The 27812-nt window shown below is 44.1% G+C and overlaps 2 protein-coding genes across 17 annotated transcripts in view; one reads left to right on the top strand and one right to left on the bottom strand.

The window, feature by feature from the left end:
* WDFY4 (WDFY family member 4) overlaps positions 1–27812 on the bottom strand; it is a 298084-nt gene that overhangs the window by 42531 nt on the left and 227741 nt on the right. The gene's annotated exons all lie outside the window — the stretch shown is intronic.
* The window catches only part of LRRC18 (leucine rich repeat containing 18), a 30361-nt gene continuing 3134 nt past the window's right edge, over positions 586–27812 (top strand). The window contains exons 1-4 of one of the 8 annotated variants that reach the window (XM_011539822.2): positions 586–680; positions 5151–5249; positions 7805–7940; positions 26194–27034. In XM_011539822.2, coding sequence (XP_011538124.1) covers positions 26271–27034 — 764 coding nt within the window. In that variant the 5' untranslated portion in view covers positions 586–680; positions 5151–5249; positions 7805–7940; positions 26194–26270. Of the gene's footprint in view, positions 681–5150; positions 5250–7804; positions 7941–9252; positions 13883–15138; positions 15214–26190; positions 27035–27812 lie in introns of those variants that run through there. The other 7 variants (XM_017016276.2, NM_001378102.1, XM_011539823.2 and 4 more) reach the window with 7 other exon arrangements.

Raw genomic sequence — 27812 nt, 5'->3', positions numbered from 1 at the left:
AATTCTTTACTTGGCAGATTTTCCATAAGCAGAAAGCAACCCTCAGGCTGGGATTTACCTCTTCATCCCTAATAGAGAAGTCATCTATTTGGGCCATGTATCCAAGCAAGCAACACCCAACAATAAGCAGAAGCAAAACATGCTCCGATATACTGCTTTAGCTTGTAAAGGGTCAAGTGAAGATATGGTTCTCCTGCTGTGTCTGCGACTCTGCCACCCACCCAGTTCTGGAGGGTAGGCTGCTCTTAAGGCTATAGGCAAGGGCAGAGCCCAGGCTGGAGACAGTGAGGGTCATCACCTTGAAAAGGACCTGTGCTGAGCCCTCCAGAGCCATGAGCATGTGGAGTTGGCCTGCCACAGCCTGCTGCTCTTGCTACTCTGTTTTAGAAGTTGACAGGGGAGTGAGGACAGAGGAATGAAAGAAGTGGAGCTAAATGTGCCTGTTAGGATCCAGGAAATGAGATTCAGTCTCTGCTCTCCTCCCTTTCAGACAAGGTTCTAGAATTTTGCCTGTGGTCACTTGTGATGTTACTATCAGGTGGAATGGTGTACAGAAGAAAAAGGCATTTCACCATCCCCCTCCTCATTTCATTGGCTATCAGCTTCAAGGAAGTTCCATTATTTCTGGTACCATCAGAGAAAGACGCCATTACCAGCAGTTCCAGGACACCTAACCAAAGGTGAGATCTATTTTTTAAAAATATTGTTTTAAAATCATATTAATCTGAAGGTGATTACAGAACTCTTAAAATGATCTATGTGAATTTTGTTGGTAACTGGTGATTAGTTGAAAGTATTTCTTTAAAAGTTAATAAACCGCATCATCCATCATCCATCATTATCATGTAAGTTTTAGATTAAATAAGATGTTGCAAATGGCTCTTGGCTTTCTAATGTGCTCCTGAGATCCGTGGGAGGCAGCCTGAGAAAGAGCTCTGGCTGTGAAGTCAGGGACACCTGGATCTAAATTCTATCTCCACCACTTAAATGGGGGGCCCCGAGCAAGACAGCAAGCCGCTCTGATTTGCCATATCATCCTTGCAACACACTGGCCACACCTGTCACACAGGGGTGTGGGAGAGCCAGTGAGACCATGGGTCTGGAAAAGGCTAGCATTGGTGTGGGCACGGAGCTACTCAACAGGCGTGGTCCTGGCGATGTTGACATTGTTCAGGAGCAGGGGAGATTCTTTTCTACTCTTGGAGGAAGGAGAGTGCAGTGGCAGAGTGGGGCCTGCTTCTGGTCAAGACCTTCTTGGCTCTGCCAGTCCCCCTCTGAGTGACCTTAGAATTGTGCAACCTGGGAACCTGGGCACCTGCTCAGTCAGCCCAGTGGACACAATTCTGAGAAGCTCCTCAGGGTTTGCTGGGTGCCTGCATTGAGCTACAAGACAAGACTGGGGCCTGTGGGCAACTTGGGGTGGAGCAGAGAAGAACAGAAGAACTCGAATGAAGCCAGTGAGGATTGTGGCGGTTACCCGGCCTGGCCTTATTGGGCCTAGCACAGGCGGACATACAGGGGACATCACATCAACCCTTTCACTCCCTTCCCACCCAGGACAGGTGTCCACCTCTACTGGATGACTTCAAAGATGGAAAGATTATCTCTGAATCAGGACGTCGTGGGTAGTTCAAGTTCTTCCTTATTTTCAGGGGTCATTTACACCCATCCTGCTTCATTTTTAACCAAATCTCTGTCCTTTACCCCCCCAGACGAGCTTCAGAAGCTTGAGCGCTACTGCCATGTGGCCTTAGGGCCTTCCCTACCCCACACTGCACAGCATCAGTGCCCTTGAGTTGCCCCATAGTCCTGCTTTGACTCTTCTCCCTTGGGCCAGCTCCACCCAAACAGCACCTCCACCCTACCCTGAAACCAGGCCCCCAGAGCAGGTGGCAGAGAGGAAGGAGCCAGAGGCATGTTCCAAGAGCTCTTCCTCCATCGGGGGCTGGCAGAGCAGCCTGTGGCTGGGCCTCCAGATATGGTGGGTTAGACCCCAGACCAAAGGCTCTCAGCCGAGGGACTCATCTGGCTAAAGGCTGCACCCTCTCAGCCCTGGAAGGAGTCTGGGGTCTCTGCCTATCCTCTTCTTCACCTGGCACTAGGAGGCTAGGTGTAGCCCTAATATGGCAGACAACTACAGAGGGCCTGCAGGTTAACCTGGGACCCCGAGCTAATGCAGACACATCTCAAAATCCTGCTGCCTCTCCAAATTCTCCCATGTTGTGTTGCCTATTTGCAAAAACAGTTTTGAGGACATGGTAAAATGGGTTAGTGAGTGACTGAGGGATTTGTTTCTTGAGTTAAGAAGCACTAGGCATACGCAAGCCACAATGAGAAGAAAATTTGCTTATGTGGGCAAGCTGGAAACACAGGCCTGCTGATGCGTGTGGGCTATTTCTCAGGACAGGAGAAAAATAGTCCAGCTTGGCCATTGCCAGGCGAGGCTTCCTGGGTAGGGAATGTGTGAGCTGGGGAGATGCTGGGGGCAGAGTGTGGCAGGGGTAGAGTGTGGCAGGGACAGAGTTGTTCAGTGAGAAGCCAAACACACTCCCTCTCTCCCCATTTATTTCTCCTAAGAAGCACATCTTGGTCAACCTGGACTCTACTTTTTAAACCCAGGCAGGGCATTAGAAATCCATGTAGAGACAGACGTACCCTTTCAAACCAGAGACACCCTGCTGGATGAACAGCTCATTAAACCTCTCTGTTATAACTACCTATCGCTTTTCATTTCCCTAACGTGGAAAATCTGCATACAGTTCTAGACCTAATAATAACACTTAATTGTTTAACCTGTTAGAAAGTGTGAAGACTTTTTGCCTATTGTCTAATTTCCACAAAGGCCCAATGAGGTTACCATAATTTCCATTAACAGATGAAGATATGGAGGTGTGGGGCAAGGAGGTGGTGTACAGGCCAGGGAGGTGAAATTCATTGTTGGTGTCTACCCTAGGCCTGGCACAGAGCAGCCAGCATAAACACCGACACGCTGACTGTTCAGAGCACCTGCCAGGACCAGATCTTGCTCCAGGACCCTAACACTGAAGAAAACAAATGCAAACAAACAAAAATCTTCATCCAAATGTATGAAATGCCAGCTACCTGACAAACTAATCAGTGGCATATATTTGGCAGCATGATGGTAAAAAATGAGCATTAGTAAATTGACCAGATTGTTATGGTACAACTATGCCATAATATGAGGCTGTACATACGTTAAAAATCTGAAAGTTGGCTGGCACAGTGGCTCACACGTGTAATCCCAACACTCTGGGAGGCCGAGGTGGGCGGATCACCTGAGGTCAGGAGTTCGAGACCAGCCTAGCCAACATGGAAAAACCTCGTCTCTACTAAAAATACAAAAATTAGCCAGGCGTGGTGGTGGGTGCCTGTAATCCCAGCTACTCGAACCCGGGAGGTGAAGTTTGCAGTGAGCCGAGGTCGTGCCACTGCACTCCAGCCTGGGTGACAAGAGTGAGACTATGTCTCAAAAAAACAAAACCTGAAGTTTATACAATACAAAGTTACTGCCAGTTGCCAAAATTATGAGCACTTTTAATTTTCTTTTTTTTTCTTTTTTTTTTTTTTGAGACGGAGTCTCACTCTGTTGCCCAGGCTGGAGTGCAGTGGCGCGATCTCGGCTCACTGCAACCTCTGTCTCCTGGGTTCAAGCGATTCTCCTGCCTCAGCCTCCCAAGTAGCTGGCACTACAGGTGCTTGCCACAATGCCCAACTAATGTTTTTGTATTTTTAGTAGAGACGGGGTTTCACTGTGTTAGCCGGGATGGTCTCGATCTCCAGACCTTGTGATCCACCCTCTTCGGCCTCCGAAAGTGCTGGAATTACAGGCATGAGCCACCACACCTGGCCTGAGTGCTTTTAATTTTCATACGGTTTTACATACCTATATTTTAAAATGTATTTATCTTGTATATTTTCCTCTTTCAAATATTGATTTTATTTTTATGTGCTTTATGATTTTTATATTATTTAATTTCAATTTTAAATTATGTATTCACATATATTCTAATTAGAAGTATACTGGGTAGTAGAATTTGAGGTAATTTTTAATTTTCTAGTCATCTTCATTCAGAAATTTATTTAATCCATTTGCTGTCTACATTAAATTATGTATTTTATTTTTTGGACTTAAAACATGATATGGTAATGTTTATGTATTAAAAAATGTTATAGTTAGCTCTCATTTAATGATTTGTTTTGTTTTTATTTCTAAATTGAAGTCATTTTATTTTGCTTTTTTTGTACTTTCCAAAATTTTTACTACTTAAATTTAATTTTGGATTTGAAATTACTTATTTCACTTATTTGCTAGTTAATTTATTTTCTAATTTATGACTAGGTGGAAAAATTTAGAGCATTTCAATTTCTTATTTCTGCATATACATTTTCAAATTTTTTTCCAATGCTTTATCATCTGCATAATAATTTTCATACTTAATTTGTTTTCCTCATTTTCTCAATTTCTGGAAATTTAATGTAAGAAAAAAACTGAAAAAAAAAAGACCATAGATGCACAAATAGATAATTTCAGCCTTATTCATGATAATGCCAGGCTGGAAACAGCAGGAAAAGCAAAGCACAAGGCTTACTGCTGTGTGTTCATTCAGGATGCAGATTTCAGAAACTACACATCAGCATTTAATGACATACAATCAAGTAAGAGAATATGATTACAGGGCTGTATGATTTTATGAGTATTGTAGCTACTCTGATTTAACAGTGGAAAAAGGGTGCAAAGAGAAACAAAAGAGTAACAAATAATTAAATTCAAATAAATAGATGAAAGACAGCCCTCTCAAAAACCAAAGAGCAGAAAAAAAATACTTGCACAAATTCGAAGAAAGGGGAGTGATGTTTCATGAATGCTATTAAAGTGAAATGTGGGTCTCTTTTAAGAGAAATGTGTGGCTTCTTCCCTGTGTAGCCACATCCGCTTGGCCGTTGCCATAGACAGGGGCTCTGATTCGATCCTCTCCCACTGACTGCTGGGTGAACAGCAGGAAAAGCCCAACTGCAGGAATCACAGGGGGTGAGCCCTGGGGTTCCCTCCTCGTGGCAGGCAAGCCAGGCTGTCGGGAAATTAGAGTGTCTTAGAGACCCTTTCAGCCTTCCGTCCTCTCACTTTGCAGGCTGGTGTCAAGACTGTGCTAATGACCTCCAGGTCCTAAGTCTCTTGTTGCCTGGTGACAAAGTTTCACAGTTGAGGAGGAGAAGCTGGGACTAGCAGGGTAAGTTTTGCTCGGGCGGCGGCCCTGCGCTTATCGATTTACTTTAACTGTGCCAAACAACTGCTTGGATCTCTACTTTTTCTCTTTCTCCCCTCCTTTGAGTAAGCAGCTTTGGAAATGCCTGTTTTCCCAGTATGCTTTATTTACAAAGCCCAGGCAACAGCTAATGCATTATTTAGGAGAGGAGGAAGCTTGCCTGAGCCCCAGTCAGGAAGGGCAGCTAGCTAGGGCACAGTGGGCATCCTCGGGGGCCAGGGCACAGGCGAGCCTGGGAAGGCAGGTGTGCAAGTCATTGGTGCTTTGGGGATCACACGGGATCCTCTCTCCAAAGTCTGGGTCTCTGTGAGTGTTTTTGCTGCTCTACAGGCTAGGCGGAGATGTGTTTGAACTGCTTGCTTTCACCCGACCAGTCACCCCTCTAAGGAAACTAAGCTGTGACTGCTTCTTCGTTCAGGAGGGTCCAGCCCAGCAGAACAAACCTGATTACCGCTTACTGTAATGGGGTTGGGAGAGCAATCCATGTTTTAAGAAGTCTGGTGGTAAACTTTTTCTACAAGTTATCCTGAACACTAGAACCCACTAATAAGTGGTTAAGCCCTAGGCTAAGTTGGGCTTTGCAAAGGGGGATTCTTCATGGGACACACAGGAACACACTCCTCAAGACCCAACTTTTATGACAGGTATAATGGGAAAAGGCAGGCCCTCTACTTAGAGTCTTTGTGACTCCACACAAGTTTCTCAGCCTCCCTGAGCCTCAATTGCTGTATCCCCCCGGTGGAGATGAAAATCGACATGTCAGGCAGTTGTGACTCAATTGTAATGTCTGTAAAATACTTGGCCTATAGTGGGTGGTCCACAGAATCCATACAGAGGGAGGAACCTCATTTTAATGTGCTAAAAAGTAGGTAGTGTCTTTGCTTTGCAAAGGGTCGGGCACATAATAAATTCTCCATACATTTATCAACAACACGGATGCTATGTGAACCAAGTATGGAACAACACTCCCGGCCAATGAAATGGGGACTCAGAAAGGTTAAGAAACTTATGCAAAGTCACACGTCTAGGAGGACAGGGCTGTGACAGGCCTGTAAGCTGCTCTGATCACATGCCTTCTGGGTTTGAGCCTCAGCCTCCAGGGAGAGATGGGAGGCACTGAGACAGCTGCTGTCCACCCTGCAGGGCCCCTGAGCCCTGTGGTTGTCTGCAGACCGGTTTGTTAGTGCCTGGTGCTTGGTGCCTCCAGCTTCTGCTTGGGCCTCCAATGGTCTCTCACTGTTACCCAGTATCAAGGGTGATGTCAGGCCCTTTCTCCCTTCCTATCAGCGGAGAGATGAGAGAGTGAAAGCTAGATGATGTTTCCAGGCCCCTGAAACCCTAGAACACAAGGTGTGCAATTGAACCACGCCCATGTCTACTCTGTTGCCAGCCCCATCGCCAACTCTCAGCCCATTGCCAATGCAATTCACTGCCAATTTTTCAGTTTCTGAGCTCCCTACTAGTATCATATAATGGAACTCATCTCAGCCCCTAGAACTGGGTCTAATAACACATGCATGCTTCTTTTTCAGGGAGGGATGAGCTATAAGGATGGGGCTTGACCTGGACTAGGAAGAAAGTTTCCCACAGGATCTAGCTCAGCTCCTGCCAGCATCTGCAGAACATGATGAGTCAGGAGCTTCCTGGGTGGCCAAGAGAGCCACTGGCGGCCAAGAGAGCCATCTGACATTGTAAAGCCAAGCTTGTATGGAAAAGCCAGATGGCAGCTAAGTCCTTGGGAAAGGGCACCAGAGAGATGCTGGCTCCAGTCGAGGCATGCGCCTTTGACTAGGCCCTGGGTGTTTCATCTGTGAAGTGGAGTGACTAGATTAAATGAGATGATGCACATGAGGCACTTAGACTTTGTGCTGGGCAAAAGGAAGGAAAAGATATGGGAAGTGCTAGGCCCCTCTAGCAGTTCCAGCCTGCCCTTGGGTTTTCTCGTTGCCTGGTCCACATATACAATCTAGAAGAATGTTCCATCTGCTCTGCTTCCACCACAGAGCCTGGATCCACATGGTCCCTCCTCTGCCATGCCCTTCAGCACAGACTCCCCTCTTCTCCTGCCTGCAGCTGGCCTGTCTCCATCACTCTCCTTCCCTGCCTCTGCTGCCTCCCCACGGCCAGCGTTATCCTTATAGAAGGCCTTATGTTGTCCCCTACCCATGAGCACATGGCCCACCTTGCACTGCCCTTGCTCAGCTCTTCGCCCTCCCCTCCTTGACCTCCAGCTTACACCCTCTTCCTGTCAGTTCTTTCCAAAATCCTTCCATGTGGCTTCTTCTTAGCATTCTAGTTACAGCTCAGATGTCGCTTTCTCAGAAAGGACCTCCCCACCCACCTCAGTCTGAGTTAGCAACGTCCCCACCGATATGCCCTTTCTGACTTTGGCATTCTCTGTCACATCATCAGCTATTATTATTTGCAGAGCATTTACACCAACTGAAATGCTCCTTGGTTTTTTTTTTCTCTCTCTCTCCCTCTTTTTTTTTTTTATTTGCTCTCTCTTGACATGGTAGCTTCACGAGAAACACAAAGGTATAGCCTTGCTCACTGCATATCCACTGACCTGACCCATAGTACAACTCCAGTAGGAACTGTTGGACAGATGACTGAATGAGGAGACTGAACTGTAGCCAGCTCTAGAGATTAAAAGTGAGTATAGGGATAATTATATCTGTAAGTAGCTATTATTACATCTCTTTTTCTGCAATCACTAGTAATGTTAGTATTAATAATTTGTCAGTGCTTGAAAGGTTGCAAAGACTTTGTATTTGGGAATCAGCAAAGATTGTTCTCCAACTCCTCCATCTGAGATTCCTGACCAGTGGGGAGTGGCCCAGAGCAGCTGGTTTGAGGGAGGTGATGGAGACGGTGCAGTCTGGTGACTCCACCAGCATTCCCCACCAGCACCCGCCACTGGTGGTAGAAGCCAGATGACTGGCTTTGTTGAGTGCCCACTGAACACTGGTCACCTAACATTTTTATCACCTCATTCACTCTTCAAACAACCAGCAATTGACCAATCCATTTTGCAGAGCAATAAACTGGGCTCAGGCGTGTTATGAGACTAAACCTGGGTTGGCAATGAAGGGGAGTGGGGCTCACTTCTATTTGCCTCACAGCTCCCATGCTCCCTGCAGCCTACCCACCGGCCTTTTCAGGCACAGCAGGAAAGGGACAGCCGGCATGACTAACATGTGGGTGGCCATCCTATCTAGAAGCTGCCAGGGTGCTGCCCTGTCCTGACCACATCATTCTCAATTCTCCTGGCAATAGTTATGTCTGTTTGCACAAAGTCCTAAGGAAAGCTATCTCTCTTATTGGAGGCAGTGTCTAGTGCTTCAGTCATGATTTCAGATAAACCTCATGAAGATTCCAGGAGGAAAAGGAAATCTGAATTTAGGAAAAGTTTCTACAGAAGAAATTTAGGATTAGACATTGCAGCATTTTCTGAAAGACAAGGGCCTTCCATGCAAGCAATGAGCCCAAACTACCCTTTTTCTCCACTAACCTGAAGCATTCCTTCAAAAAGTAGGCCACAGTTTCCCCACAGTTCTTCACCTCTGGATGGAGGTTGCAGGGAGAAAGTTCAGCTTTTGCTTGACATATCCTCCCCATATTGCACCATAATACGGGCCACCCTCTCACAACAGGCCACGTGTTGTTTATAGCACGGCCCTCTGTGGCTGGCTGAGGGTGGGCTGGCTCTGATAGAGTACCTCTGGAGGGAAACAGGAACGGCTGCCTTGGGCTGCCTGCTCCTCCCCCACTCTCAGTGGCCACCTCTTGCATTCCACTCTGGGACAGCATAAAGAGCTCACAGATGACCTAGGACAGCACTGGCTGCCTCAGGCAACCAGACTCTCCACCTGCTGCCCAATTCCTGTGTCTGCAGTGGTGGGGACACCTCTCAGGTATCCTCTATCTGCAACTGCCAAAGGCAAATCTAGCTCCAGTGAATAACTCCCACCACCACCCTGTCCTCTAAGAGGAAAAGAAGCGGAATCGTGTGTGTGTGTGTGTGTGTGTGTGTGTGTGTGTTTGAGTGTGAGTGTGCATGCATGTGTGTTTGTACCTTTTTTTTCTGGTTAGAAATAGATTTTATATCTGTTGCAGGGAATTTAAAAACTATGTAGACATATAAGAAGGAAAGTAAAAAGAGTCCAGTACCGTCCCTTCAGAGAGCAGTGTTGCTGATATTCTTGGCGTTCTTTCTCTCCTCTTTTCTGGGTATGGGGGTGCATGTGTGCCAGAGAACACAGGGCTCACACGGACAAATGTTTCTTTCACTAACATGACATCTTCAGCATTTTGCCTTTTGACATTTTTGGGAAATAATTTTTTTTTGTTTTAGTTTCTGTTTATTATTTATTTCATTCTATGATTACACATTAATTATTTAATCACTCATCTATTGTTAGATATTTGGGTTGTTTCTAATTTTTTTTTACTATTTTAAATGGCACCACCATAAGCATGTTTCTATCAAAAGTCTTGTTCTTATTTCCTGAAGGGAGATTCTTAGAAGTGGCCTCCATGTGTTCTCCATAGCCTAGTCCCACCTCTTCCCAGAGTACCAGCCGTTTCCTTGCTTCATCTCGTCTCTTTGCCTTGGCTCCCATCCTTCTCCCCTTGGCCTAACCCAGTTAAGGTGGCCTCAAGTGCGATGCTACTGATCACTCTCCAGCCCCATAGTGCACTTGTTCTCATGGTCAAACAATCCGTCGTGCCATCATCTGTGTCTATTTGGAAAGCATTCCTGTCTCCAAGAGGGTACACACTCAGTGACCAACAAATATTTAGTATGCAAGTGACAACCTGAGTTTTCCTGAGGGACCTCTCCCTTAAAACATATTCATATTCTGGAAATCCTTCAACAGTACATGTAAAAACAGTGAGTCAAGTTGATTATGTAGCAGCTGACTCTCAGCTATGAAATCTGGGACAAAGCTGAGAGCTGAGACCCTTTCTGAGGGCATGGGAATCAGGATTGACCTTGTAAGCGCTTAGACTGTATCTATTAAACTAGTATTGACCAAGGGCCTACTCTGTGCTAGGAACTGAAATGGACAAGTGAACCAGACAGGCCATGTGTCTTGGGGTAGGTGGGGGAGGAGAATGGGGGATAGATAATAAATGCAAGCATAACAAGTAATGCATCATAAACTACATTTAGATGCCAGATGCTATTGGAGGAGAAGTGCAGAGAAATAAGGGGCATCAGTGTGTGGGGGAAGGTCAGTCTGCTTTATTAATTGGGGGTGGATGGAAGAAGAGTTGTCAAGTCTGATGCCACAGTTTGGGCCCTGAGTATCCACAGGAGGCCAAGGCTGTCAGCCCAGCCGGAAGAGGCTGTGGTGGAGCAGCTGGCTGGGAGCTGGGCTTGGGACAGACAGGGTTTGAGATGCTTATCATCATCCAAGAAGAAATGCTAAGTAGGCAGTAGGCTAAGTGAGTCCAGAATTGGGGAGCAAGGTCCGGGCAAGAACCAAACACCGGGCAATCGTTAGTGTATAGACTGTATTCAAAGCAATGAGACTAGGTGGGCTTACCAGGAGAGTGAGTGTAGACCAGCACAATAAGTATAGGCAGAGAAGAGGAGCAAGGGGCTTGGCCATGGACCTCAGGGGGCACGTGGCAGAGGCAGCCTCTAACCCACCCAATCAACTTCCTCCCATGCTGGGCTATTTCCACTGCCCCCTGATGCCCACACTCACTGGCCTGGAGTATGGAGTCCAGGACACAATAGCTTCCTGCTGGAGCCTAGAGGCTATTGAGACCAGCCCAGTGCAACCCCATGCCTGGTACCAGCCTCAGGGCTGGGTTTCTCCTCTTTATTATCTTTTATTGTGCCTCCTCCCACCCTCCCTTCCTTTCCTCCTTCCTTCTTTCTTCCTCTGTCCTCCTTCTCTCCTTCCTCTTGTTGTCCATCCCCTCCTCTCTGCAAAGAGACTTTTCCACTTGATGTTTCCTCCATCTGAAATTCTCTCCCTGAATCCTCACTTCCTCTGATCTCTGCTCAGGTATCATCTTCTCAAAGATGGCCCTCCTGGCCTCCCCCTTTCTAAAAAAGCGCATCTTCCAACTCTTCTCTTCTAATCTCTATGTCTCTATCCTGACTCTTTCTCTTCCTAACATCCATCACACCTGTCATTACACCTTATTTTTGCTTGATTTTTCTAGAATGTGAGCGGGACCTTCATTTTCTTTGCTGCCTGGAACAGTGCCTCATTCATAGTAGGTTTTCAACAAATACTGTTGATGAGTGAATGACTTCAAAGGGCTGTGGGAAGTTCAGCTGTGTCCTTAGAGCTGACCCTCAGCATTCCCCTTTGCAGTCATTTCACACCTTCCCAGGTGATAGGCGGTCAGCAAAGCTGCCACAGGGCTGCGAGCTGTCCTGCGGCAGATGGGGTGCTCCAGTGGACTCTGGGCTGTCGCCAGTGGGCCCTCACCAGAACTAGAGGGTGTGAAGTGCAGAAAGAATTCCATGTGAGGAGATGCCCCAGCATGATACGAGGGGGCCTGTGCAGCTCAAAGGAGCAATGTGTCCTCTTGGCCCCCAGGATAAATTAACTGAAAGCCTGCACTCAGGGAGGCAGGGGTCACGGTCCATAAGGACGCTAGGCTGCAGGGTCTGAATAGGGTTTCTACTGGGCTGGCACCTGGAGTCCAGGTTCCCCATTTGGTCAGTTGTGTGGTCCCATCCATGCTGCTGCCTCCTGTGCCAACCCCCACCAACACACACACACACACACACACACACACACACACACACACACACGTCAAAACCAAAGCCTCCAAGGGCCACGCATTGCCCTCCCCTGACCTTGGGAAGCAGCCACTTTTACATCCTCTTTACAGGAGTTCAGGCTGAAGCTTGTGGGGTTCAGGAGACCATCCAGGGTCATGGGGAAGGTAAACAGGGGGCTGGGCACACCCACTACAGCCAAAGCCCTGGCACATTTCCCTGCCAAGCCGCTTCTCTGAGACCCAGTTTCCTAATCTGCGGGAGGAGAGGAGCTGTGAGGAGAAGACAAAATAACACCTGTCTGGCAATAGCAGCGCTTAAAACACATTGGGTGGAATGGAATCACTGCTCACCTCATGAGCTTCAAAGGGGCCAGGTCTGCCTTTGGTTCTTTGACTTTTGCTTCTCTTGAGGTTGGTTTGTGTGTTTTGAACATAGGGTGGATGAACAAGGCATTTCTAGTCTGTTAAACTAATCATCTTAATATTTTATTTTAATTGTAAGGTGCTTATTCCCTTTTGTTCCTTTAACAAATCCAATTAAAACAGAGTACATCCAGAATTACAAAATAGATGCTATTAAACCAATAAGAAAGCATAATCTTTTGTTATTGGGCCGTGTGACCTCTTGGGAACTTTTGCTCCAAATAAAAGTTGAATTCTTATTATCCGCTAGGGGAAAGAGGGCAGTTTGACAGCTAACGGCTTTCCAGGCAGCACATGTGCAGAGCCACGCTGGTGCGAAGGATAGAGAAGTAAATAATACTAGGGGCAGACAAAGCTATAAATGCATAATATCCCAGTAAGACACTTAGAGCTTGGTTGATCAAATTAACCAGATAATTGCCAAATGAAGTGAACCTGAGAATTTTTATACAGACACTCCATTTGCTACTTTACAGGCATGTGGGTGGAAGTTTTGACGTAATGGGAAGAACGCATCCCACAGAAGTGCTGGAATAAGGCAGCTGTGTGAGCCTGGACAAACTTCTCACACATATTCCCCTCCCCCCACCACCCACAATAGGAGGGATATTCCTACCACAAAGGAGAGTGTTGCGGATGACTGAAATGGCAAAGGAGAGGTCACTTTATGAAGACACGGGCATGATGTACCTCTTAGCATGGGTCTGAGGATGTGTGTGGAAGCAGGGGGGAGGGTTCGGGGGAGGCATCATTTGACCAGCACATAGAGACGGCTGCTGTTTGGCAACAGCAGAAGTACTTAACGAGAGGTTAGACTTTCAAGTGAGCTCACACGGTAAAAATCAAACTTCAGGCAGTCTGCATACAGCCGCCCCTGATACAGGGGCACTACAGCAGCCTGCAGCTCTCCAGGGCAAAGAGGTCACTGCCTCTCTGGTGAGAACCAGAGAATGCAGTTGGCCAATGTCCCTGGGCAATGCTACATGAAAATCCTGTGTCTTCACACTCTTGACTCACACTCCATGTGGCAAGGCGTTCACACTGCGTTGGGCCTGCAGGGACTGGAGAAGCTGAGAAACAACGAGTTCCTGCCTCCATTGCCACCTACTTGGGGACACATGCCTATGAAGTGAACTGGCTCGTGGCATTATGTGTGCCCCATAAACTGTTTCTCTTTCTCTCTTTCATTGTCAATTACCAAGCTCTTACAGTTAAATGACTCCATTAATGCTATTAAAATATCATTAACATTCATACTATTTGTATATATTTAGAAATATACCCACATATATATGGTACATCTATGAAAATGAACATCCTACATATTGGCCCCTGGACAGTGGAGTGAGCAGACAATGGGTCACACTGAAATGATTTCTTCAGGGACCTTATTTGCCTGTGGTCAGTTCCTCCAAAAGGTCAGTGGAACATCTGCATTACTGAACCTCTGCAGGGACTTTGGCTAAGGCTGCCTCTCTGTCTCCTCAATCTGTTGCGTTGGCTGGCTGCTTCAGCCAGAGTGCACACCATCCTTCATTTAGCAGACTCTCTAGGGGGTGACATTGCAGTTCCCAGGCCAATCCATGCCAAATTAAAATGGGCTGGAGCAAGTGTCTCATCACCCAGAGTTCTGGGGACTCTGACAATCCTTGGTTCCAATGTCAGAGATTCCAGCAAAACAGGAACACCCTTCCTGGGGCCTGGGGCCATGGAGGGGCTAGTGGCCTTCCTTAAACTCCTGTGCAGAAGTGGGTGTGTCTTTCAGCCTGAGAGTCATAGGATTCCAGGATGGCTTCCTCTCCCGGGAGGCAGTGGGGGCCAGCAATGTATCCCCAGGATGAGGCATTTGCCACTGGGGGAGCACAGGCAACAGAGGGAGGAGAGAGAGAGGTGGCACAGTGTATAGAAAGATTGTACACCAGCTTGCGTATCAGACACATTGAGGTTTGACTTTGGCTGTATTCTTTGCTGCCTGTGTGACTTTGGGGAAGTCACTTAACTTCTCTGAGTCTCAATTCTCTTATAGTAAAAATATTTTACTATAAGATATTTTGCTTAGTTTCTCTGGAGATTAGACATACATGAAGGGCCCAGCAGCATGTTTGAGGCAATTACTTTGGTACCATGAGTGAATGATAGAGAGGAGCTCTTGACATTGGCAGTATTTCCAAAATTGATGTCAGAAATCCCCCCAAACTGTGGAGTCCCTGTAAGATTCCAACCCCTGCTTCTGCATCTCTCCTGCCATCATCCCTCCATCAGCTCTGCTCAGAGTGTGGTGGAGCTACTGCTGTGAGCTGCACCATCATCTCTGCACCTCTAATCTGTCCCTTTCTAGCAATCTGTCCTTCTGCCCACAGGGAAGCAGTGCTCACATTGGGGCAGTTAGTGGAGAAAATGAAAACACTTTATGTTTATACCCCCAAGGAATCTATATTCCTAAATCTAGGTAACACTGCAGAGCAAGTAGCACAGCACACAATTTCGGGCCCAGAATGATCTTTGGACAAGGGGTAATTCTCCAAGCTATGCCTGAGTCAAAAGTTAGTGCTGATTTCAGCGGCCTGCCCAGAGGTTCCCAACACACCCATTACATACACAGGACCCACTATGACAGTGCAGGTCTCCACCTCCCATGGACTTCATCTGTGAAGATACAGCCCCGCCTCTCTTTAGAGGGAGCATGACCATTCTGGGAAGGGGCAGAGGACACAGAGTGATCTGAAGCCACTCGGGAGGTCACAGTTAGGTGAGCTGGCCTGTTACACACCCAGTAAATATGAGGGTCGGGAGAGAGAACAAATGCAGTTACCTTTGAATGAGTGAGTTGTTGAGGGAAGTTTGCATCATTTCCTTTTAAGAGATGACCGACAAGTAAAAGATATTTCTCATCCACATGACATGAAACTGCCTACAAAGCTAGTCCCAAATACTGGCTGTGAAATGGCAGTGTCTATGGGGGTTTCAGTTCCATGTGTCTATCCTGTATCTCAATGGATCAGTTGAAAGAATGAAATTATTATTGTAAGATTGTGTTAGCAAGCTATTTAGGGATGTCAGAAATATAGAAACAAAGTCAGTCTGCTTAAAATTGTAGTCAAAGATACATGAGTGTGAAGCACCAGACAAATTCTAGTATCATATTGACAAGGGTCTTACAACTGGAAATGCTTGCAAATATTTGGATGACATTAATATATTGGTTGCCATTACTTTTTTAATTTAGATATCCATGGGGTATCCCACCATGCTGTTTGATTCACAATGACTAAAGAGAAAAAATTAATTAGAAATTAAAGTCAAACCAACTGGGCCACTTTTTCCAAAGTATAAAAAAAAATTGTACAAGAACAAAAAGACACAGTACCTTTAGAAACCTCTTATATTTGAGCTGCTAAGCTGTTCATGTGAAATGAAATCTATTATCCATCCAACCATACATAAATACATCCATTCGTCTGTCTATTCGCCCATCTATCTGCTTATCTACTTACATCTTTCTCCCTATAACTATCAGCTTCCCTTGTGTGGGTTGATCCCACTCTTACATTTCAAGAATTCTATGAACTGATAATAGGCCATCTAGCCAGTTTCAAACAGATGATCAAAAGATCATGGCTTCTGGCACTGGGTCTGCTTCTAGTGGTACTGGGCAGCTTAGGGGGTCAGGATGGACCCTGAGCCACACAACACACTCTGCCTTCTATAACTGAGAGGAAGGGTCCCTGCCAAGGTCGGGTGACCCCAGGGAGAAGCGCAGAAAGGGTGGAAGTTCACTGTGCCCCATCTGGCCCCGGGGCTGCCTAGGGACCCAGACTCCCTGGGGAGGTGAAGTACATTATCCTAGCCAGCCCTCACTTTACCTTGAGGTGATTAATGGGCAGGCTTGGAGCCAAAGGGCCCTTTGGAGAGAGGCTCCTTAACGGAGGAGTTCTCTGTAGCCAGCTCCGTGCTGCTTCCTCATCACCATTCATCAGAGCTGGGAGGGCTTCTTCTCACAGTGTGGGTGGGCTGTGGGCAACCGGCACAGCTGGGCCCAACTGGCTGGATGTCCCATTTGCTGGAAGCACCCCTTCCTGTCCAGGATTCTCTCTAAGCCATGCTCAGTGTGTTTGGCCTCCCTGAGCTGAATTTTATCTTAGATAGTAGAAGAAAACCAAAAGGCAGCCCAGGTTTTTGGTGTTCAGGGGAATCTGGTGGCCAGAATCAGTGAGAATCTAGATTTGAACTATTTCAACTTGAGGACTGGGCCTGATTACTGTTTATCTGTGTTGCTCAGAGGGTTGATAAATGGTAGGCACTCAATATGCTCATACAGTGAATGAACAAATGAACGAATGCATGAGTAAGCACTAATAATGACCATAGATAAATGAAAATTTACTGATTGTTTAGGCCCATGGGATAGGGTTGCCAAATAAAATACAGGACTATGCGGTATTTGGGACATATATATATATATATACTAAAAACTATTTGTTGTTTACCTGAAGCTCAAATTTTACTGGGGATTTTGCAATTTTATTTGCTAAATCTGGCAAATCTACCATGGGGAGAAGCCATTGATAAACATCAGATGAGTGCATAGACTTCCTTGATCTCAATTCATCTCTTTTTAATGAAGATTTCAACTCAAGCACAGTAGACAGTTTTTCTGACATGCCAGCTTGCGAACATCTGTTCCCTGTGGTACACAACATCCCCCCAGTGCATACACCAGGGAGACATACACATTGGACCACAGTGGTGCCCAGATGCTACCTATTTGGATGCCCTTTCAGGGGCAGAACTGGTTGTGTGGGGGCTTAACAAAATCACAGACTTCCAACGTGGGACAAGCCAGCAGACACAGTGAGAGGAACAGAAGTAGAATATGGAGTCCCAACTATTTTGTAAAGTTTTTTTAAAAACGATTTTTTAAAAATGTTTCTGCAGTAAAATTGCCTTTTTGGGCACAGTTCTCTAAGCTTCAACAGATGTACAGATTCATGTAACCACCATCACTGTCAGGGTGCAGGCAGTGACACCAACCCAGAAAACTCACTTGTGACTCTCCCTTCTAGTCAAGCCTTTCCCCAACCCCTAATCCCTGCAACCATAGATTTGTTCTGCACCTAAAGTTATGGCTTTTTCAGAAGGTGACATAAATGGAATCATTCCATTCATGTAGACGTTTGAGACATTTTTTTATTAGGCAAAATGCTTTAGGGTTCATCCAAGTTGTCGCATGTATCCGTAGACTTTGTGTTTAGTAGTATTCCATTACCACAGTCCTCGCTTACCCACAGGTGATATGTTCTAAGACCCCCATTGAATACCTGAAACCACTATAGTACACTATGTTTTTCCTATAGGAAAACATGCCTATGATAAAGTTTAATTTACGAGTTAGGCACCGTAAGAGATGAACAACAATTCATCATAAAATAGAACAATTTCAACAATTTACTGTTCTCAACTTCACAGATAGAAGATTCATTCTTGCTGTAGATGTTAGCAACCTCAGCATATGATTTGTTTTTTTCCCCAAGTCAAGAACTTTCACCTTTTCACTTAAAGGAAGCACTTTAAGGCATCTCTCTCTTTGGCATATCTGAACTACCAGCATCACTACTCACTACTAGGACAGCTACTAAGTGACGAACAGGCAGCTAGCATTTACAGAGTGAATCCACTGGAAAAAGGGATGATTCAAGGTCTGGGTGGGATGTAGCAGGATGGCCTGAGATTTCCTCATACTACTCAGAACAGTGAGCAATTCAAAATGTATGAATTTCTTATTTCTGGGGTTTTCCATTTAATATTTCCAATCTGGGGAACTAAAAATGTGGAAATGGAAATAGCAGATAAGGGGGACTACTGTACAGTATTAGGAATCCACCCATTGAAGGACATTTATTATTTTTCTGTTTGGGGCAATTATGAATAGAGCAGCTATAAATACCTGTGAACAGGTTTCAGTATGAACATGGAATTTTACTTTTCTAGGGTAAATACTTAGTTGGGAAAATGCCAGATGATATAATAACTATATGGTTAATTTTATAAGAAATTTCCGAAGTGTCTTCCAAGAGACTATACCATTTTGCATTCCCATCAGCAAGGAATGAGAACTCTAGTTGCAGCATCTCCTTGCCAAAACTTTGCACTATCGATTTTTGTGTCTGTACATTTCTATCTTGAAATGTATCTTTAAATATTCTGGACATTAAAAAAAATTGTATTGTTTGCTTTCTTACTGTTGAGTTGAAAAGATCTTTATAGATTTTGGATACCAGATATCTATGATATATATGATTTGCACTATTTTCTTCCAGTCTGTAGCTTGTCTTTTCATGCTCAACGTTTTTTTTTTCCACAGAGCTTTTAATTGTGTTCAACTTATTAATACTATCTTTTGTAAATTGTGCTTTTGCCTGATTCAAAGTCATGAAGATTTTCTCCTTCATTTTCTTTTCAAAGTTTTATAGTCTTACATTTTACATTCAAATCTATGATCCATTTTGAGTCAATGTGTGTTAATTAGGCCAAGGTTTAATTTTTGCATATAAATAACCAATTTCAACATCGTTTGTTAAAGAGTTCATTTTCTCTCCATTGAACATCCTTTGACCTTTTTTCAAAAATCAATTGACCATTTGGCCATGTTTGTGTAGATCTATTTCTGGACTCTATTTTCTGTTCCATTGACCTATCTACCTGTCCCATCACCAATAATACCACATGCTGTAACTATATGGTAAATTTTAAAATTGGGACACATAATCCTCCAACTCTATTATTCTTTTTCAAAATTATTTTCCATTCCTAGTTTCTTTTCCTTTCATATAAGTTTTAAAATCTATTCATCCATATATGTAAATAATCCTCCTGTAATTTTGATTAGACCAATTTGGGGAGAGTTGACATTAAGTCATCCAATTCACGAACATGGTATGTTTCTCCATTTATTTAGATCTTCTTTGCTTTCTTACATCAGCATTTTATAATTTTCATTATAAAAATCCTGCATATTTTGGTTATTTATGTGAAATATAGAAGTATTTTATTATTTGGAGCATTATTATTTTTCATAATTCAGTTTCCAATTGTTAATAGCTAGTAATATGGAAATGCAATGGGTGTTTTGTGTGCTAACCTTGTATCCTATGGCCTTGCTAAACTCACTTATTAGTTCCAAGAATCTTTTTAAAATTCTGTGGGATTCTCTATGTGGACAGTCATGACATCTGTGCATAAGAACAGTTTTATTTCATTCTTTTCTGTCTGTATGCCTTTATTTTTTGCATTATTGCACTGGTTAGAATTTCCAAAGTAATACTGAACAGACATAGTGAAAGTGTGCTCTCTTGTCTTAGTCCCAAACTTCAGAGAAGAACCTTCTGTCCTTCACGAAGTATGATACTAGCTCTAGCTTTTTTTTTCTTTTTTTTCAATTGTTTTAAATTATACTTTAAGTTTTAGGGTATATGTGCACAACGTGCAGGTTAGTTACATATGTATACATGTGCCATGTTGGTGTGCTGCACCCATTAATTCGTCATTTAACATTAGGTATATCTCCTAATGCTATCCCTCCCCCTTCCCCCCACCCCACAACAGGCCCCGGTGTGTGATGCTCCCCTTCCTGTGTCCATGTGTTCTCATTGTTCAATTCCCACCTATGAGTGAGAACATGTGGTATTTGGTTTTTTGTCCGCTCTAGCTTTTTTGTGGACGTCCTTTAGCCAGATAAGGAAGGGCCTTTCTATTACCAGTTTGCTGAGAGTTTTTAATCACTAGCAGATGTTACATTGTCAAATGTCTTTTCTGCATCAATTATAAGATCTTTTTTTTTTCTTTTTAGTCTGTTAATATGGTATGTTACATTAACTGATTCCCAAGTATTGAGTAAGTTTGGGCTGTCATTTATATTCTTTTTACTTGTTACTGGATTCAATTTGCTAATACTATGTTGAGGATTTTTGTAACTATGTTCATGAAGAATATTGGTCTGAAGATCTCTTTCTTATATGTCTTTGTGTGATTTTAGCATCAGGGTAATGCTGACATCAGAAAATACGTTGAGAATCACTCTCTATTCTATTTTTTTTTGAAAGAGATCATATCAAATTGCTAGTATGTCTTTGCAATTGATTGAATGTTTGTGTCCCCCAAAAATCTGTATTGAAACTCTGATCTCCAGTGTGAGTGTATCAGAAAGTGAGGCATTTAGATCATGAGGAAATTAGATCTTGAGGGTGGAGACTTCATAAATGGAATTTATGCCATTACCAAAAGGGGCTCCAGACAATTGTTTTGCTCTCTTTCTACCATGTGAGGACACGGCAAGAAAACATCTATGAACCAGGTAGCATGCTCTTACCAGATGGCAAATCTGCCAGTGACTTGATTTGGACTTCCCAGCCTCTGGAACAGTGAGAGATAAATTTATGTTGCTTACAAGCCAACTAGTCTATGGTACTTTGTTATAGTAGCCTGAGTGGACCAAGACAGTCTTCTTTAAATGTTTGATAGAATTTAACAATAAGACTACTGGGCTTTGGGTTTTCTTTTTTGAAAGGGTTTCAACCGTGAATTCCATTTCTTCAATAAATACAGGTCTATTTGGGTTTTCATTCCTTCGCAAATATTTAGTAGTTTTTAGTTGATCTTATCTAAGTTCCTCTTTTTTTTAGAGTTGTTTGTACTGTTCTCTTATTATCCCTTTAATGCCTGTGGGATTTAGTAAATCCTCCCTTTAACTCCTGATATGTGTAATTTGGCTTCTCTTTCTTTTTTTTTTAAATTGTCAGTCTGGCTATCTGTTTCATTAATCTTTTCAAAGAACCAGCTTGTACTTTTTTGTACAATTTCAACTCCTTTAAATTCGTTAAGGCTTGTTTCATGACCCAAAATATAGTCTGTGTTAGTGGATATTCCATATGTACTTGAAAAGAGTTTGTATTCTGCAGTTGCTAGGTAGAGTGCTTTATACATGTCAGATTCAGTTGGTCAGTGGTAATAGTGAGTTATTCTATACTAGCAGTTCTCATCTCCAGGCAATTTTGCTCCTCAGTGGACATTTGGCAATGTCAAGAGACATTATTGATTGTTACAACTAGTGGGCAGCTATTGGCAACCAGTGGGTAGAATCTTCTGGCCTTACTCTGCTAAACATTCTACAATGTACAAGGCAGGTCTTCCCCCAAGCCCTGTCACCATCCTACCCCCTGCTGACAACAAATAATTACCTGGTCTAAAATGTCAACAGAGCCAAGGTTGAGAAACCCTTTTCCTTGCTGATTTTCTCTCTACCTGTTCTATTGACTGCTGAGAGACAAGTATTGATGTCTCCAATTCTAATGGTAAATTTATCCATTTTTCCTTTCAATTTTATGTTTTTGCTTCATTTAAATTGAAGCTCTGCTGTTAGGTACATACACATTTAGGATTTTTTTGTCCTATTGGTTAAATGATCATTTTATTAATAAGTAATGGTCTTACTTCCTGTAAATTTTCTTGTTCTGAAATATGCTTTATCTGACATTAATAAAGTCACTACATCCTTCCTTTAGTGTTTGCATGGTATGTCTTTTTACATTCTTTTAGTTCAACTCACTGTTGCTTATTTAAAGTATACTTTCTTTATAGACAACATACAATTGGGTCTTTTTCTTTTGTAATCTATCCTGATAATTGTGTCTTTTAATTGGAGCATGTAGGTCACTTTCACTTAATGTAAGTATTGCTATGTTTGAGTTTCAGTCTATCATTTTAATAGTTGTTGTCTGTTTGCTCCTTCTGTTCCCTTTTCCTGCCTTCTTTGTATTATTTGAATTTTTAAACTGTTTTATTCTCATTTATATATTTAGTTTTTTACTATTTACTATATCTTTTTATATATTGCCTTAGTGATTGCTCTGAGGATTAAAATACACATACTTTACTGTCTGCTTAAAATTAACCTTTCACCACTTCAAAAGCAGTGTAAAACCCTTACCACCATATAGGTCTTGCTCACTTCCCCGTTATGTAGTAGTTGTCTTATGTATGACATCTACATACTTTGACAACTCCATCACACAGTGTTAGTTTTCTTTCGATCACATACATATTTTAAGGGTATTTAGAAGAGAAAAATACTCCACATTTACTCAGATATTTAGCATTTCCATTGCACTTCCTTTATCCCCAAAGTTTGGAGTTCCTCTCTAGTATAGTTTCCCTTTCACCTGAAGAACTTCCTTGGACATTTCTTTTACAGCAGCTTAGTTAGTGGCAAAAACTTATTTTTCACTCATCTGATAATGTCTTTATTTTGCCTTCATTTATAAAGGATACTGTCACAGTCTGGGTTGATAGTTCTTTTCTTTCAGCACTTTAAAAATGATGTTTCCAGCACCTCTGGCCCCTGTGGTTTCTGATGAGAAACCTGCAGTCATTCCTATTGCTGTTCCCCTGTGGGTGATACGTCATTGTTCTCCGGCAGCTTTCATGTTTTTTCTTTAATTTGGAGCAGTTTGATTATGTGTCTGAGTGTGAATTTCTTTATTTATCTTGTTTGGAGTTCGCTGAGCTTCCTTCCTGTGTTTGTAATTTTTATCTTTTTCATCACTGTTGGAAGTTTTCAGCCATTTTTCCTTCAAATGTTTTTCTGCACCACAACTGTTTTTCCACACTTTCTGAGATACAGGTGTAAGTATAGGTATCAGCAGAGATAGAGATAGAGGCACATGTCACTTCATGATGTGAATACTTTCTGAGAAATACATCCTTAGGCAATTTCATCATTATGTGAACATCAAAGAGTGCACTTACACAAACCTAGATGGTATAGCCTACTATAGACCTAGGTAGACTACATGATCTAGTCTATTGCTTCCAGGCTACAGACCTGTACAGCATGTTACTGTACTAAACACTATAGGCAATTGTAACACAAGGGTAAGTATTTGTGTATCTAAACCTGGAAGAGGTAAAGTAAAATTATAGTATCACAATCTTATGGGACAACTGTCATATATGCAATCTGTCATTGACCAAAACATCATTATGCAGCACATGGTTGTACACACACACACACACACACACACACACACACACACACATATTTTTAAAGCAGGACTTTTTACTTTTAAAAAGCACCTAGGGGTCTGTAGTAGGTTATTCCATTTAGGTTTGTGTAAGTATACTCTTTGATCACACAATGAAGAAATCACCTCTGCCTTTAAACAGAGGCAGCTCAGGAGAGTTCAGAGTTGCTATACAACTTTCAGAATCACTTTTCCTGAATTTCTTCCCTGTTGCAATCTCTCTGAACTCTGTGGCTCCCAGGAGCATCTCTTCTCCCCCGACTTTTTGGTCTTCTGGCTGGATTTTGTTTTCTAAATCTGTTGCACACTTCTTGCAACTGTTTCTGCCTCTAGAGCCAAGTGGCAGTAGGGTAGAGAAAACAAAGCAACCCCCCAGCTCTGAGGACCACAGTTTGGTCAAAGACAATGGTTCTCTTCTTCCAGCTTCTAGATGCCTGCCTGGATGACTCCAGGGATACAGGGTGGCCTGGGATGAGACAGGAGAGAAGCAAGCAAGCAAACAAACAAACAAACAAAAAACAGAACACCAAACAGATTTCCCTTACTGTCTCTGACCCTTAAAAATCCATTTCCTGTTCCTTGGACCAGAAAGAGAGGCTCTTGTTGGAAATCAGAAATCTTTCTGTCCTCATCTGGTGCAAAGTTTTGTGTTCTGGGCTGCCCTTGAGTCCAAGCCAAGAGAAACGGTTGAGGGGAGAAAAAGGAGTTCAGGAAACTTGTGGCCAGATTGGTCTTTACTTTGAGTTATGGATTTCTTCTCCAATCTGCCTGATATCACTTATCTCAGAGTCCCCAGAGTGCTTCTCTGTGCATTCTGCCCAAGGCTTTACTTGCTTTCAGGAGTTTGGTGGGACCAAGTGAGCATACAAAATCTTAACTGGACTTGGACTCCACTTTGTTTTTTAAGCTGTTTTATCCTATCTGGTTTCTCAGAGCTGAATGATATAGACAGTTCAGTATTGGTGAACATGGTGCTGGCTCTGGAAACCAGCCAATTATGCCCGAAAATGGGGAGTCCACTATTTTTAAAGACTAGGGTCAGCTTACAAGGCCTGTGTAAATGAACATCAATGCTGCCAAGAGCTAAGAACTGTCATTGGTTTACTGTGGAGACCACCATCTATCCCAGGCGGCTGTGATCCATCAGGCCTTTCGCAGGGTAGGACCCTCTGACCCTTCAGCTATGAGTGGTGACAGTGGGATTTTCAGTAGGTGTGAGACAGGCTTGTACACATTTCCCTTTGACACTGGGTGAGGAAAACATACAACTATATTCCCACACAGCCTGATTGCTCAATATTCATGTGCTATATCAACTTGGGTTCTAATAAAAGGTACAGGTGATGAAGTACAGAAACTGTAGAGCACCTCTCCCTGCCCATCCCTGCAGGGAACAGAGGCAATGCAAGTTTGTGTCTCCCAAGGGCATACTTCTGCCTGGTTTGGAAATCTTGGTCCAAAAAAAAAAATCAGCAAGCAGGAGGCACAGGAGGCCTTTAAAAAGAAAAGGGGGTCCCAGAACCAAACAGAACAGAGTTGCGTCCTCTTCCTGGCTGCAGACCTTCCTCACTTCTGAGCCTCAGTCTCGCTATGATAGGGTAATGCTGTGGACCTTGTTATTGAGGATTAGAAACAATATGTGTAGCAATTTTTAATAACTAACATTAATCAAGCTATTACTATGTACCAGGCACTGTTATAAGTGCTTTATAGTATTAGATAATTTACGCCCCCTCATAGCTCTGTAAGGGTGTCTGTTTTCACAAATAAGAAAACACAAGCACTGGGAATTTAAGAAGATTGTGAGTAGAGTAGAGCTGGACTTCTAAGCCAAGCATGCAGAAGCCAGAATCCCCATCACATCACATTGACATTCTGCTTCCCTGCACTGAGGCAGTCACGGCCATTTATCAAGTTTCTGTGCAGAGGAGTTGAAGTCCAGTGTGAAGGATGAGAGAATGGGCAGGAGATGGAAAAGGCAGCATTCTCCATGAGCTTTGCCCGCACCCCCCATCCCCCTGTGTGCTCATGATGGGGAGTTATGGTGCTGCTGGGCCCAGCAATGGCACACCCTGATATCCCTGGGCTGAGCAACAGGCTTTTCTGCATGGCTACTGTTGGACTGTAGCCAAGGCCTCACTAGTTCCTCTGGGTCCATGAGGGGAAGAGGGATGTGAGAAGTTGGTCTTAGTACCCACCTTATTCTCTAAGATCCAGGCTTATGTTGGCTGGAAAACTCAGCAGTCCCTCCCCAGGAACTTGTATGAAAACTTCAGGAAATCCTAGCTTAATGCAGGGGTCTAGGAAGGGGCAGATATCCAAGAACACACACACATGGCTCTGGGTTGGGGGTACGTGACAGTCTGGGACAGTGGAGAGTATTTATAAGTCGGGGCATGGCACAGCTAGAGGGACATTTAGTGTCCTTCAGGCTGACCCTGCACCTCCTATTTTAACATCCAAGAAAATCAAAGTCTGAAGAAGTCACACAGTTTGCTGACAATCTATGGCTGGGCTGGGTCCACTTTGCCCTGACTTCTCTCCGCAATCCTCTTTCTTGCTTTTTAAACCACTGAAGAGCAAAGCGTCATGACGTGGGGGAGCCCAGTGCCCTCTGGCATCTCCTAACCAGATGTTTTCTTATCTTTCAGCAGTTTTTCATGATTTTTCCTCACACTGATCACTATCCAATCAGAACAATAAACTTCTAACACTCCCTTACTAAAAGAACATGGTTAAGGGTGAGAAAGGCCCCAAGGGCAAGAAGATCACCCTCAAGGTGGCCAGGAATTGCATCAAAATCACTTTTGATGGGAAAAAGCGCCTTGACTTGAGCAAGATGGGAATTACCACCTTCCCCAAGTGTATTCTGCGCCTTAGTGACATGGACGAGCTGGACCTTAGCCGGAATCTTATCAGGAAGATCCCTGACTCCATCTCCAAGTTCCAGAACCTCCGGTGGCTGGACCTGCACAGCAACTACATAGACAAGCTGCCTGAGTCCATTGGCCAGATGACCAGCCTGCTCTACCTCAACGTCAGCAACAACCGGCTGACCAGCAACGGGCTGCCCGTGGAGCTGAAGCAACTCAAGAACATCCGCGCTGTGAACCTAGGCTTGAACCACCTGGACAGCGTGCCCACCACACTGGGGGCCCTGAAGGAGCTCCACGAGGTAGGGCTCCATGACAACCTACTGAACAACATCCCCGTGAGCATCTCCAAGCTCCCCAAGCTGAAAAAGCTCAACATAAAGCGGAACCCCTTTCCAAAGCCAGGTGAGTCGGAAATATTCATAGACTCCATCAGGAGGCTGGAGAACTTGTATGTTGTGGAGGAGAAGGATCTGTGTGCGGCTTGCCTGAGAAAATGCCAAAACGCCCGGGACAACCTGAATAGAATCAAGAACATGGCCACGACGACACCGAGAAAGACCATCTTTCCCAATCTGATCTCACCCAATTCCATGGCCAAGGACTCCTGGGAAGACTGGAGGTGACTTGGAACCTGACCCTGAGGCAGAAGGGAAAGAGAGAGGGAGGGAAGAGGGCAGTGGGCTACCTCCACAGGAAACCAAGGGCTCCCCTGTGGCTGCAGCAGCTCTTTCAGCCAAGCCCATAAAACTCCTTTCCTTACTTTCTCGGCGTGTGATTGTGTTGATTGAAGGGCTTTTGATTCCTTGCCATTCCACACATTTCTCTGTCCTCTGCACACACACTCACAAGTACAGGCACAGTGAGTCAGGAAGGGCCTGTCCATGTCCATCCTACTCTTGCCCCCAGATCTCTCTTGTCTACCACTGTGGCCTAAGCAGCTAATGCCGCCACACACTCACTATCACTGGCATTTCAGAGCCCACTGCCAGATCCCAAATGTGAAGTTATTTAATGGAAATGTTTTGGGTCTGGGCTTCAAAGGCAAGGAATCTCAGAGCATGAGTTTGTAAGAAAGTAGATGAGCACTTGGTGTTGGGTAGGGGACAGAGCTGGACCACAGAAATGGGCAGGTTTTATTATTAAGGCATCAATAGGCAGATAGCTTCTTAGGCCCAAAGCAATGTTTTCTCTCTGAACTGAGCTTGCATAACTTGCTCTATGAGCTTTCTTGGCTAAACCTGCAGACCTCTGACTGGCTGTGAATGAATGAAGTTGCACTCCCATCCTATTACATTCAGTGTTTTTCCAGATCCTCATAGGAGAAACGAAATAATGGTGGCAAGTATGGATTGGTGCATTCAATAAATCAACACCTTACTCAGCACCATGCTAGGTGC

The sequence above is a fragment of the Homo sapiens genome, chromosome 10 (assembly GCF_000001405.40).
Source record: "Homo sapiens chromosome 10, GRCh38.p14 Primary Assembly".
NCBI lineage: Eukaryota > Metazoa > Chordata > Mammalia > Primates > Hominidae > Homo > Homo sapiens.
Note: the sequence above shows the minus strand (reverse complement) of the source record. Positions and strands in the feature narration are given on the sequence as shown.